This window comes from Homo sapiens, chromosome X (genome assembly GCF_000001405.40).
Source record: "Homo sapiens chromosome X, GRCh38.p14 Primary Assembly".
NCBI lineage: Eukaryota > Metazoa > Chordata > Mammalia > Primates > Hominidae > Homo > Homo sapiens.
Genome location: NC_000023.11, coordinates 55,000,244 through 55,012,495, shown reverse-complemented (window position 1 = coordinate 55,012,495; position 12,252 = coordinate 55,000,244). Strand labels below are relative to the sequence as shown.

The window sequence follows — 12,252 nt, the reverse complement described above, 5'->3', positions numbered from 1 at the left end:
TAATGCAGGGCCTGACATTGAATAGGTGCTCATTCCAGGCCTGTTGGATGAAAGACATGTAGGCAGTTGATGGTCTAGCAGAGGAGCCAGATATAGATGGTACTGGTCCAGTATGATGAGCTCCAGTATTCTGGGAGCTAGAGGGAGTGGACACATTATGGAGAGAGAGGGTGGGAAGGATGAAATTGGAGAGGCTTTGTGAGTAAGGAAGTTTTTATGATGCATGTTGAAGTACATGTGAATATGTTGTAAGAATATTCCAGAATAAGGGAATTCCACGAGCAATGACCTAGAGATAGGAAAGCAGTGGGTATGTATTGACAACATAATTCTGTTTGTCTGAAGCATGGGCAGTATGAGAATTCAAGGAAGACAAGCTAGGTAGGCGCCATTCATTCATTCAAAAACATTAAATAATGCTGGCTAACATTAAGTACTTACCATGTGCCAAGCACTGTTCTAAACACTTTACACGTATTAACTCATCTAATCCCCACAACAACCTCAAGAGTTAGAGATCCTCTTATCATTTCCATTTTGTACATGTGGAAATTGAGGCACAAAAATATATAGTCGCTGATCCAAGGTCACACAGCTTCTAAGTTGCAACTGGGAGGTCTGTCTCTACCTCCATGGTCATAACTGCTAGGTCTACCACCTCTCTGAGCTGATGACCCAGACTCCTGGGCCTTTTGTTCAGTATTCTCTTTTGCTCTGGGCTTCAATTGTAGAGCTCTCAGTATTCTTGGTTCTCTGAATGTCCACCTAGGCTAGGCTTTTGTAAGAATATATGAGGCATCCACGATGGCTCCACCAGTCCCTAAGTTCCATAGCCAATCCATCCTGAAATCCTGCAAAAGTTATCTATAATCTCTCTCAAACCTATTTGCTTTTCTCCCCTGCCACTTCTTTAATCCATGTCAACATGATTTTTTTCCTAATTTCTCTGCTTCTCTCTTGCTCCTCTCAAATCCTTTCTCGATGATGACCACTAGAGGGATTTTTCTAAAATTCTGACTATATTGCTCCCTTGCTTAAACCCCTTCATGTTTCCCTCTAGACTCTAAAGCAGTGACCTCCAAGGGGTATGCAAAATGATTACAGGGTGAAGGAACAGAATATGTATTAGAATTTTATGTTTTTTTATCTTAAAAATAGGAAATCAAGCATCACTGATACTGATCTTTAATATACAGACTGACAGTTATACATGTATATAATATATAAACAAATATAGAGATTGGAGGTACATGCTAAAACATTTGTACTGATAGGGATGTATAGTCCAAAATTTGGAAACATTGACATATAGGACAGAGTTGAAGCTCTTCAGCATAGCATTCAATGCCTTCCACATGGTGATCTCTATGCCCTCACCTCCTCCCCACATGCATTTTGTTTTTTCAGCTACACTGAAGGACTTGTCGTTCCCTCATTTTTTTCTGCTCTCTTACCTCTGGGACTTTGCTCATGCTGCTCTCTTTTGATTGGAATGCCCTCCCTCACACTTTCCTCTGGCTTACTTTCCTTCATCTTGTAGACTTAACTTAGGCATTCTTTCAACAAATATTTATTGAGTACCAACTGTGTACTAGATACTGTTCTAGGCACTGGGGATGCAGTAGCAAACAAATCAGACACAAAATTCCTACCCTCTGGAGCTTACATTCTAGTGGAAGGGGTAGTAAAAAAAATTACCAAAAATAAGCAAATTAAGTAGCACATTAGTTCTAAGTGCTATGGGAAAAAATAAAGCAGGATAAGGAGAATGGGATAAGGGGCCAGGGGCGAGTTCAGAGAAGGGTTGTAGTATTAGAGTGGCAAGGGTAGAAGACGCTGAGGTGAAACTTGAGCAAAAATTTGAAGGAGGTGAAGTTAGTGAGGCAGATATCTAAGGGAATGGCATCGCAGGCAGAGGGAACATCCTAAGGCAGGGAAGACACAGGAGTATTCCTTTTATATTTGAGGAACAGTAAGAAGATGGGTGTGGGTGGAATGGTATAAGCAAGTGGGAGACAGAAAAATTGAGTACATAGAGGCAATGTGGGACCAGATTGTATAGGGTATGGTAGGCCATTAGAAGGAGTTTGGCTTTTACTCTGAGAGCCCTTGAAAGGATTTGAACACAGGACTGATATTTCTGACTCGGGTTTTAACAAAATTGCTCCAACTTCTATGTAGAGAATACACTAAAAGGGAGCAAGGGTGGAAGCAGGGAGACCCAAGAGTGGGCTACAGTAATATCCCAGGTGAGAGATGATGGTGGCTCAGACTTGATCATAATGAAGGCAATAAGAAGTGGTCAGATTTTGAAGGTAGAGCCAAGGGTCTTTGCTGATAGATGGGATATAGGGTAAGAGAGAAAGAGAAAAATAAAGGATAGCTCTGAAATTTTTGGACTGAGCAACTGGAATTGCCATCCACTGAGATGGGAAAAGCTAAAAGTAGAATAGCTTGGTGGAGGGTAGGGACATGAGTAGCTCAGTTGTACTCCTAAGTTAGAAATGCATATTAGACATCTAGGTGGAGATGGAGAAAAGCCATTGGATATACAAGATTGGAAACCAGTAGAGTGGCGTGAGCTGGAGATTAAAATTTCTGAACCATCAGCATATAGATGGTCTTTAAAGTCATGTGACTAGACAAGATCAACAAGGGCATGAACACAGAAAAGGCCAAGAACAGAGCCCTGGAACGTACCTGGGGTACTTCCTCCAGCTAGGTCAGGTTCCCTTCTCTGGGTTTTCACACCCCCAGGTGGACCCCCTACCCCAGGTTTCCTGGTCATAGCACCAATGACACAGTATAGTTACTGTCATTATCATTGTCCTCATAGGGCTTAGAGTTCCCAAGCAGACAGTCATTCTTGGGCCACAGCACATCCTATACTTAGGGAGTGGTCCAGGCCAGGACAGTATGGCTTCAAATTGTGTCAAAGGAGAGCTTCCAAATCTTTTATAATATATATCCCAGCATCCAGATACAAATGGTAATATTCACGGCACACACAGAAGCAAACAGTAGGCTACTTCTGGCCCTGAGGTATCTTGAAGGGTTGAGGGGGATCAATATCTTGGCTCATCTGTACTGTGACAGATTTGGAAGATCTAGTCTAACCCATTTTTTCCCTCCCCTCCCCCTACCACCTTCAGAGAAGCTGCTGCTGGCTTGGACTGCGGTGGGGCTGCCCCTCCAGGATGTGTCTGTGGCTGCCTGCAATTTCTGTCGCCGTCCTGTACACTTTGAGCTCATGAGTGAGTGGGAACGTTCCTACTTCGGGAACATGGGGCCCCAGTATGTCACCACCTATGCCTGAGAAGCCAGCTGCCTAGGATTCACACCCCACCTGCGCTTCACTTGGGTCCAGGCCTACTCCTGTCTTCTGCTTTGTTGTGTGCCTCTAGCTGAATTGAGCCTAAAAATAAAGCACAAACCACAGCATGTGAAGCCTTTTATTGGACAGGGAACAGACAAGTGCATTCTGACTCCCTCAGACAAGTGGCAGATCTATGAGGTAACCATAGGTCACTTGTTGGTCACCATTCCATTTTACCAACAGGGAAACAGAATGAGAAAGAGGAAGGAAATGCCCAAAAACTACACAGTGAGTTGCAAAGAGCTAGGATACTTGGCAGATTTATTTGAGATGGCTCTTCTCCAATGGTTTCAATAAAAATCCAGGGATTGACGCTTCACTGGTAATCCGGGCCCTGGAAATCTGGGCCCAGGGTAGCCCCTGAAGCCAGGAAATGAGTCAGCCCTAACCAAATTCCCTAGAAAGGAGTGGTTCCCCAAAACCAAAGAGGTATTTTCCATAAGGGGATATGGATGTCTTCCTCAATCCATTATCCTCTCTCCCTCCCACGGCATCCCACAGAACAGGATTTACCAGTCCCATTCTTTTTCTTTTCTTTTTTTTTTTTTGGAGACTGAATTTCACTCTTGTTGCCCAGGCTGGAGTGCAATGCATGATCTCAGCCCACTGCAACCTCCGCCTCCCAGGTACAAGCTATTCTCCTGTCTCAGCCTCCTAAGTAGCTTGGATTACAGGCACGCGCCACCACGCCCAGTTAATTTTTTTGTATTTAGTAGAGACGGGGTCTCACCATGTTAGGCTGGTTGCGAACTCCTGACCTCAGGTGATCCACCCATCTCAGCCTCCCAAAGTGCTGGGATTACAGGCGTGCACCACTGTGCCTGGTCTACCAGTCCCATTTTCAAAGGTGAGAAGAGGCTTGGCTAGAGCAAGCACTGTGTTCAAAGCAATGCTCCCACTTTCCAGGTCACAGTATACAGGAAACATTTCCATGGCACACTTAGGGGTACTAATGATACTACTTGCTAAGGAGGCAATCGTCCCTGAAACTTGTGTGGTCCCAGGCCCTGCCTGGCAACTCTGAGGGCTGAGGACCGTTTCTTTCAACCCTGTAACCCACTGTGGCAGCTGTGGGACGCACTAGCTGGAAAGCTCTGGTTTAAGGCTACACAGCCCACCTTCCTTGCTGATTTCACCTTAGCCGTACAGGAAATTCCTACAACTGAGCAGAGAACCCTTTATGGTGAGCACTGCTGCTCACGCCTCACTATTCCCTCCTCCCCCCTCCCTCCTCCCCTTTCTCTGGGAATTACATCATTGGGCTACAGCCAGCCGGCAAACCAAGTATTGAGATAGCTTCTCTGACTCAACTTTATGGAGTACCTCCACAATGTCCAAAGTGCAACCCTGAAACAAATACACAGACTTTATTTATGCACAAATACACTTTCCAGCAAAGACAGAAGTGATTTAAAATCACACAACTTCCTGGGGCAGCTAGTGTCCGTGTACTTCGGACAGGAAGGTGGAAAGTGGTGTAAGGGGCTGGGTCACAGGATTAAGGCACAAGAAGCTCACCAACAAGGAGCTAGGTAGGAAGGAAAGCGAGGAAGAGAGGGCTTAAAAGAGGAAGAGAAGGGTAGGAGACTTTGAGGGAGAAGCAGGAGGCAGCTCAGGGAAGGGGAGCTGGCCTCAGATCATGTGCAGGGGTGACCATGCCAGATGTCCCCAGGCCTCCATTGGTTCAGCTGGGCCTGCTCCAGAGGAAGAAGTTGCACCGGGAGGAGGGGTCAGTGGGAGGACCCCGGGGCCTGGCACACATGTAGAAGCGGCGGCCCAAGTTGGGTCCTGGCTTCTTCACAGTACGCATCACACATGGCTCCCTGTGGCCCCCACAGAGGGGTGTGCGCAAGGGCCCCGCCAGCACAGACTTCCAGAATGAGGTCCGTAACTCCTTCTCATCTTTGGCTTCTGAAGTCTTGGCCTGCCCCTTCACCACTTTGGCCACTGCCTTCTCTTCTGGAGTCTTCGGGGTCATGAGGGCGCTCATCAGTGGTAGGCTAGGCAGCTCTATGTCAGGAGAGGCTTGGGGACAGCTAGGGGAGGGCTGAAAGTAGCTCTTCAGGTTTTTCTGGCCTCTGCTAGAGCCAACCTGACTGGGCTGAGGCCTGGTTGAGCGCACTTGGGCTTTGTTTTGGCATGTCTGTACCCGGGTTTGATTGTTGTGCTGCAGCGTCGACTGCTCCAACACAGGACTTTGTTCGAGAGGAACTAGGAAGCGAAGGATCTTGAGCTGGGTGCCTGCAAACTCAGGGAGGAAGCGGGTGCACAGAGGTGGGCACTGTTTTGCAGGCACAGAGGACACACTCAAGACTGCACCCACAGGGCAGTGGTCAGAGCCCATCACCTCAGGCAGCAGGAAAGAGGCCTGAAAGGTGTCTATGACCAGGGTCCTGTCCCCCAGCACATAGTCAAGCCGGGAGCCATAGTTGAGATGGCGGGCGCCAGTGACTGCTGACCAGCAGGTGAAGGCCCCCTCCTGCTTTGGTTGGAAGCAGCGGTAGCTATCGATGAAGGGCCCTACATGAGAGGCAGACTGGCACCCCAAGTTACTGAGCAAGCTGTCCATCCACTTGCGCCCTGGGTCCTCTTCAAAGCATTCCTAGGTGAGGAGGAAAGGGGGTTGGAAGAGAGAGAGACAGAACTAGATACCTAGAACTGGAAGGGACTTAGACTAACTGCTGCATTTTGCAAATAAGAAAATTTGGTTGTCCCAAGAGGACTACTGCTCAAGGTCACACAGTCCGGAATTGGCAGAGCTGGGATTCTGATTTTCATCCTTACTGATTTAAAAGACCATGCTTGTTTTTCCCTCTGCACGAGCTTGCATTTGTCTTGCATTGGTCCGTCAATGGCAAATCTGAAAGTTTGCTTACTCAAAGCAATTCCTGGAACTGCTTTTCAAAAGGATGGAAAACAGGAAGTTAAAAGTGTTTGCCTCTAGGAAGCAGGGCTGGGGTTAAGAGTTAGGAAGACTGTCAGCTTCTTCCTTTAAACCCTCTGGCACTATTTGGTTTATCTAGTGTGTCAAAGCCCTCAATGACCATTCCTACCTCCTGAGCTGAGGACCTGCAAGGATCCAGGTCTGAATACTTCCTTAGGCTCTGATCCCCAATCCATCATCCATCAGTCCATCCATTCAATCCACCTACCCACCCACTCATTCAATGCAAGAAATGTTCATGGAATACCTATTATGTGCCATGCATGATGCCAGGGACAAAGTAGGAACCTGATCTACTCCTGGGGACCAAGGAGGCTTCCTTTCGAGAAGTGATCTGGAGCTGAGGTGTGGGGGCTGAGTAAGAGTAACCTAGGTGGAGGGTGCTCCTAACTTTAAGAACAGTCTCTGTGCTGGGCCTGTGGAGGGAGTGTGCTGCGTACCCAAAAGACTTGAGGAAAGACCAGACTGGAGACCAGAATACCAGCAGGAAATGGCTGCCATAGTCACACAAGCAAGATGATGGTCACTTGGACTAGGGTGGGTGCCAGAGGAGACAGAAACATGAAATTATGAGATGATTTGTAGCTAGAATCAACAGTACTTGCTGACTAACTGAATGTGGGAAGTGGAGTAAGAAAGAAAGACAATACTAGCACAATTCCCAGGCTTTAAGTTGAAGCAATCAAGGGGATGATGGTGCCATTTACAGAAATGACAAGACTAAAAGAGCAAGCCTGGTAGAAAGTGGGTATGTTCTGCTATTTTGGAAAGACTGTGTAAGTCATCTGAGCTGGCACTATTAGTTCTCTTTTCCTGGAGGAGAAAATGAAAGAGGTATACATAAGAGATCTAGGATACCTCTGAACTAAGTAGAAAAGGCACAAAGATGTATGATGCTATCACAGGAATCTGAAAGAACACACTGAATGAATGCATAAGAGGAATGAGGCAGGGAGGGACTGAAGGCTCACACTTTGTAGCATTATCTCCGCTCCCCACCACACCACCACCACCATTCTCTCATTCTCTCACTTCTGCTCATTTTCCCAGCTGGGAGCCATATCTACATTTATGTAGCTCTTCTGTGAATTAATCAAGGAATATTCCCACGGTCCCTTCTCTAAGCCAAGCCCAGTGCTGAGTAGGACTGTACCAGCATAAATCACTGATCCCCCATCGTGAGACATAAGGCAAGAAAAGATGAGAGCTGGCTTGTGGATTCTAGGGCAGTGGTTCTCAAGCCTGGCTGCACAATAAAGTCACACTGGGGGCTTTTAGAACGTGCCACTACCCTGGCCCCACACTCGAGAGTTCTGAGTTCATTGATCTGGAGTAGTGCTAAGATATTGATATTTTTGTTCTAATATGCAGTTAGGGGCTGAAAACCATGGGCCTAGGGGAACTTAGAGATAAGAGGTTCATATAACAAAAAGACAGGGAGGGGGTCATGTCCACCAATTCAGGGCACAGTGAGAAAAGCCAGAATGAGAATAACTTTTACAACGGGCCGACAGGAGACAACCTGTCTAGAGAGGACAAAATGTGTAGGGACACTGAAGGTGGAAATAAGAGACAGGTCACAGACCAAGGAGAGCCTTGAATGCTAGGTCTCCATGTTTTCTCTGCATCACAGAGGTAACAGGGAGGTACTGAAAGTTCATAAACAAGAAATACAGTGTATTAAGGAAATGACCAAGGCAATGTGGAATTCACAGTCCTTGAAATCTGACCCCCAACAACTCTCCAGCCCCACCTTCTGCCACTCACCTCCCTTCCTGTGTCACTAAGAAGAAAGGGACTTGTGGTTCCCCATGCACACAATGCAAATTCTCACCTTGAAACCTTTGCCCATGCTAGAATGCTTTCTACTTCAAAGCTCTGTTCTACTCATCTGTTAAGATTCAGCCATTTTCAGCTGCCTGTCCTGATGTCCGAGCTCACCTAGGAATCCCATCTCTGAGCTCCTGTAGCTTTCTGGGATGCCATCTGTGCCTCTGCCCTGAGAATACCATCCTATAATTGGCTAGCCATGTGTCTGTAGCCCACCACCATGCTGGAGAGCTCCTAGGAGCCAAGGGCTGGATCTGACTCCTGAGTCCTCAGTATGTGGCTCAGGGCCAGGCCATGGGCAGAGTCAGTATTGTCTATTGAATGAATGACCAATCCTCAGTACTATAAGAATAGTATTGCAAGCCAAGCTCCGCTTTCCCATAAAGGAAGCTGTCCCTGGGCCAAAAACTCAGGGTTGGTTGGCTGGACAAACAGAATCAGTCAGGAGTGGGGCCAGGCACCTAGAGGGAGCCTTACCAGGTTGACTGCATCCCAGTGGTCAATGGGGCGGTGGGCTGTATTCAGGTCACCCAGAATGATCACATGGCTGAAAAACACAATGTGGGATTGTTAGAAAGGGGTGCAGCAGTCCTGGCCCATATACTTTTTCCTGGGCCCAAGAGCTCAGACAGGCCCTCTCCCATATTGAGGCTTCCTAGCCAACAGCAACTCATAACAGCCTACCTCTCCAATCTTACCACAAACTTGCTGCCTTTCATATCTGACCAACCCAATTCTGATCTCCAAAGGTGACAGTGTTCCATGTTTGACATGACTGCCTCACTAATCAGGAGCCAATGGGCATTTTTCTTGTCCTTCAAAGCTGAGCTCAGATACCACCTCCCCTTGATTGCTCTAACCCACCCTCACTTTCCTGTCCTCCGCTGGAACAAGACTTTCCTTTGCTCCCACGCACTTTACCATTCTCATCTCATTTTACCCTTAAAACTATTGTGTAGGGTAGAGATTCATATATTCATTTGACAAAAGAGAAAACAGAGGCAAGACTAGCCCTAGGGCTCACAATGAGTAAGAGCAGGAGCCTGAATAGGTGCTCAGAGTACAAAACCCATGTTTGTTTTGAGCAGAGCCTATTCAGGTGGGCATATTGGTGTTTGCAACTATGCTGTGAAAGAACTCAGAGACAAAGGGTCCATATCCCTTTCAATGGAGCTTGACACAGGGCTGGGCACCCAGGACCAACTCAAGGAAGCCTTACTGCCCAGGCTTGCAGTACCTGCCTGCCGCCAGGAGGGCTTCTGCTCGGATTTGCAGCAAACGATAGAAGCGCATCTTAAAGACTAGCCGCTCAGGCCTCCCAGGGTCCGCATGGGGGCAGTACACGTTGATTAGGGTCAAGGTCTTCTCCTTACCTTCCCATGTGCTGGAGAAAAGAGAAACCCCCAAAAGGGGTCAGTTTCAAACCTCCCCTTCTGTCCCTTCCCCATACCACATGGCTTCCATTTTGTGACTGTCTGGGATGGAAAAGAAAGGGGTTAAAGAGACACAAATGATCTGGCATGCACAGGACTTGGGGACTGACTACTGATAAGGCAGGGAGAGGGATATCTAAGGATTACCACCAGGTAATGGTGCTGCTATTCACACAGAACACCCAGAAAGACAGCAACCTGGGGCACTGAGTTCAGCACTAAGTTGCTTTTGAGATGTCTATGGTAATAAGAGCTGGATCACTAGGCCAGCCCCACATTGTAGAGATGGAAACTCAAGCTTCAGAGGGGGGAAAAATTTGCCAGGGTCACACACTGAGTAGCCCAGCCAGGACTAAACCAGGAAAGGCAAATTTGGGAACTTCTCCACGGTGCATGTATGTTTACATGGCAAGCCTTAGAATCTTCACACTCAAAGAGTAGCACCAGCAGTGCTCAGTAGCAGGGAGATATGAGCTATTACCGGATCTTATGCTGTGTGAGGAGGGCCCTGCCCTCACTATCCAGAGCCCGGAGTTCCTCTTGGGTAAACTCATCCATGTTTCCATAGCAACCAACATCCCCATTCTGGGTGGCAAACAGGCCACTCAGGCCTTCTTCAGCAGCCACTGGGGTAGCATTGTCCTTACAGAAGGTGGCTACACCTGGGAACAGACAGGGCACTCTGAGCAGACCTGGCAGTCAATAGCCTGTTGCACAGCCTGTCCCACTCCAATTGTCCCCACACAAGTCATCTAAGTCATCTTCATAAAGTGTGGTTCTTGGGCAACCTTATTCAAACCCTGGAGTCTCAGTTCCTACATCTAAAAAAGCCACAGAATGTTCTAAGTGTTTTACATTGATACATGGTGAGTGCTCAAGACGTATTAGCAATTATTATTATCACATGGATTAATTCATTTAATCCTTGTAACAGCCCCGGAAGGTAAACATTATCCTCATTTTCTAGCTGAGGAACCTGAGGCACCAAGAGGTAATGTAACTTGCCAGAGGGTGCACAGCTAGGAAATGAGCCATGATTCAAACCCAGGCTGTCTGGCTCCACAGTTCACACAATTAAGCACCACACTACTACTGTACTTCTGAGGTCCAGTAGGATAATTCTATCCATAAAAATTATATTTCATGTAATTTACTATTATGCAGCTTTAGCTCTGTAAACTAAATGTCTAAGATTTCTTATTACCCTCTCATCAAATATTGGAAACCCTTTTCCCCTATCTGCCTCCCTCACTAATTTAAAGTCCACAGAAAGCCCCATTTACCAGAATAGCCGCTACGGTTGCGGCTGAAGCTGAAATAGGAGTTATAACCCTCAACGATAGCCAGGGGCTCTGTCAGTGCATCCCCTGGAAAAAAAAAATGTAAGATTAAGTCAGAGGTAAAACTAGCATCCGAGAAACACAAAGGCCTGGAATTACAGTTGTAGGCTAATTCCTTGCACACATCAGAGCCAGAGTTGGGGGTGACGGGAATGAAATATCCATGATTAGAGGAGGACCTAGAAAGATGGGAAATGTCAGAGAGGAAATTGATATCAGAATTAGAAGGCTTGGTGGGGGGCGGTTAGAGACTATGAAGTGGAGGTGGAGAATTAGGTGGGAAGGGGAAAGAATCAGAGCTAAGCCTGGGGGTCTGAACGATAGGAGGAAGCTGGGGATGGGGATGGACATACGAGAGGATGGTGGGAATCTGAGCTAAGGGTGAGAGGTAAGAGAGAGGGAATTAGGGGATCTGAACTGGGGGTGGAGGGAAAAGGAATTAGGGGATTCTGAGGGGAGATAAGAGGGTGAAGAAATAAGAGGACATCTAAGCTTGGGGTGGGAAATGAGGTGGGAATTAGGGACTTTCCGCTGGGAGGAGAGATGGGAATAGATAAGGGGTACTGGGGTTCTGAGGTGGAAATGTGAAAAAGAGGAAATTAGACTGAGCTGGGGTCAAAGATGGGGTGGGAATTAGAGGATCTGAGCTTGGGGCAGGGATGAAGAATTCGGGGGTTTGACTTGGCGGCGGGGAGATGGACAGCGTATGGAAGGAGGAAATTCAGGGGACTGAGTTTGGGGCCGGAGAATGAGTGGGAATCTGACTAGATATGGGGTTTCGAGAAGGAGCTAAAGTTTGCTGAAGACAGGAGATGGAGTGCAATTAGGGGATCTAGCTAGGGTGGGAAATGGAAGTTTAAGAGGGAAGGGACCTGGGTCTAAGGACAGGACTCTAAGAATAGGAAACTGGGAAAGTAAAATTACATGGGACAGGGGACAAAAGTTAGCGGGAAAGAAAAAGTATGTAGGGATCCTGGAATCCAGAGCGCTCACTGGTCACTTTGGTTTCCTGGAGACAGACGATATCCGCATCCAGCTCGTCCAAAATGCGCCCCACGGCCACGGCGGCACAGTTGCTGGGTTCCTGATTTGCCACCCCTTGCAGGGGTCTCCGAATCCCATTGATGTTCCAGCTCACCACGCGCAACATCTTAAAGGGCTGGAACACCTCCCAGCCCGCGCCAACCTAGGCGCGAGCGAACTGCTTCCTGTTCAGAAGTTGGCCAGGCCCGCCTCCCGCGCGCGTTTGCGCAGGCGTTCTCGTGCGTACCACTAAAGCGCCTGACGCACGTCGGGCGGGGGCTTCAACTTCCTCAGCTCTCATTGGCG

The 12,252-nt window shown here is 47.6% G+C and overlaps 2 protein-coding genes across 5 annotated transcripts in view, besides 4 other annotated features; one reads left to right on the top strand and one right to left on the bottom strand.

Moving 5' to 3' along the window:
• Window positions 1-3,441, top strand: part of ALAS2 (5'-aminolevulinate synthase 2) — a 21,923-nt gene extending 18,482 nt beyond the window's left edge. For all 3 annotated transcript variants that reach the window (NM_001037967.4, NM_000032.5, NM_001037968.4), the window contains one exon: window positions 3,153-3,441. In NM_001037967.4, coding sequence (NP_001033056.1) covers window positions 3,153-3,316 — 164 coding nt within the window. In that variant the 3' untranslated portion in view covers window positions 3,317-3,441. The remainder of the gene's footprint in view (window positions 1-3,152) is intronic.
• APEX2 (apurinic/apyrimidinic endodeoxyribonuclease 2) lies at window positions 3,439-12,133 on the bottom strand. 2 transcript variants are annotated; one of them, NM_014481.4, is made up of 6 exons: window positions 11,917-12,133; window positions 10,867-10,950; window positions 10,065-10,245; window positions 9,388-9,534; window positions 8,628-8,697; window positions 3,439-5,978 (listed from the first exon to the last, which is right to left on the bottom strand). In NM_014481.4, exons 1-6 carry the CDS (start codon window positions 12,071-12,073, stop codon window positions 5,061-5,063), a joined length of 1,557 nt encoding a protein of 518 aa, NP_055296.2. In that variant the 5' UTR covers window positions 12,074-12,133; the 3' UTR covers window positions 3,439-5,060. The 2 variants fall into 2 exon arrangements, with proteins under 2 accessions (NP_055296.2, NP_001258677.1); NM_001271748.2 differs by lacking the exon at window positions 10,065-10,245.
• Window positions 4,426-4,720: an enhancer, noted in NCBI's record as "tiled region #5762; HepG2 Activating non-DNase unmatched - State 5:Enh, and K562 Activating DNase matched - State 18:Pol2". NCBI's record gives its function as "activates a minimal TATA promoter and a strong SV40 promoter by Sharpr-MPRA in HepG2 and K562 cells {active_cell/tissue: HepG2 | K562}" and the evidence as "EXISTENCE:reporter gene assay evidence [ECO:0000049][PMID:27701403]".
• Window positions 4,426-4,840: a biological region, named in NCBI's record as "Sharpr-MPRA regulatory regions 2439 and 5762".
• Window positions 4,546-4,840: an enhancer, noted in NCBI's record as "tiled region #2439; HepG2 Activating DNase matched - State 5:Enh, and K562 Activating non-DNase unmatched - State 18:Pol2". NCBI's record gives its function as "activates a minimal TATA promoter and a strong SV40 promoter by Sharpr-MPRA in HepG2 cells, with weaker activation in K562 cells {active_cell/tissue: HepG2 | K562}" and the evidence as "EXISTENCE:reporter gene assay evidence [ECO:0000049][PMID:27701403]".
• Window positions 12,113-12,252: a silencer, noted in NCBI's record as "silent region_20865". NCBI's record gives its function as "represses an Ori minimal core promoter by ATAC-STARR-seq in GM12878 lymphoblastoid cells {active_cell/tissue: GM12878}" and the evidence as "EXISTENCE:reporter gene assay evidence [ECO:0000049][PMID:35858748]".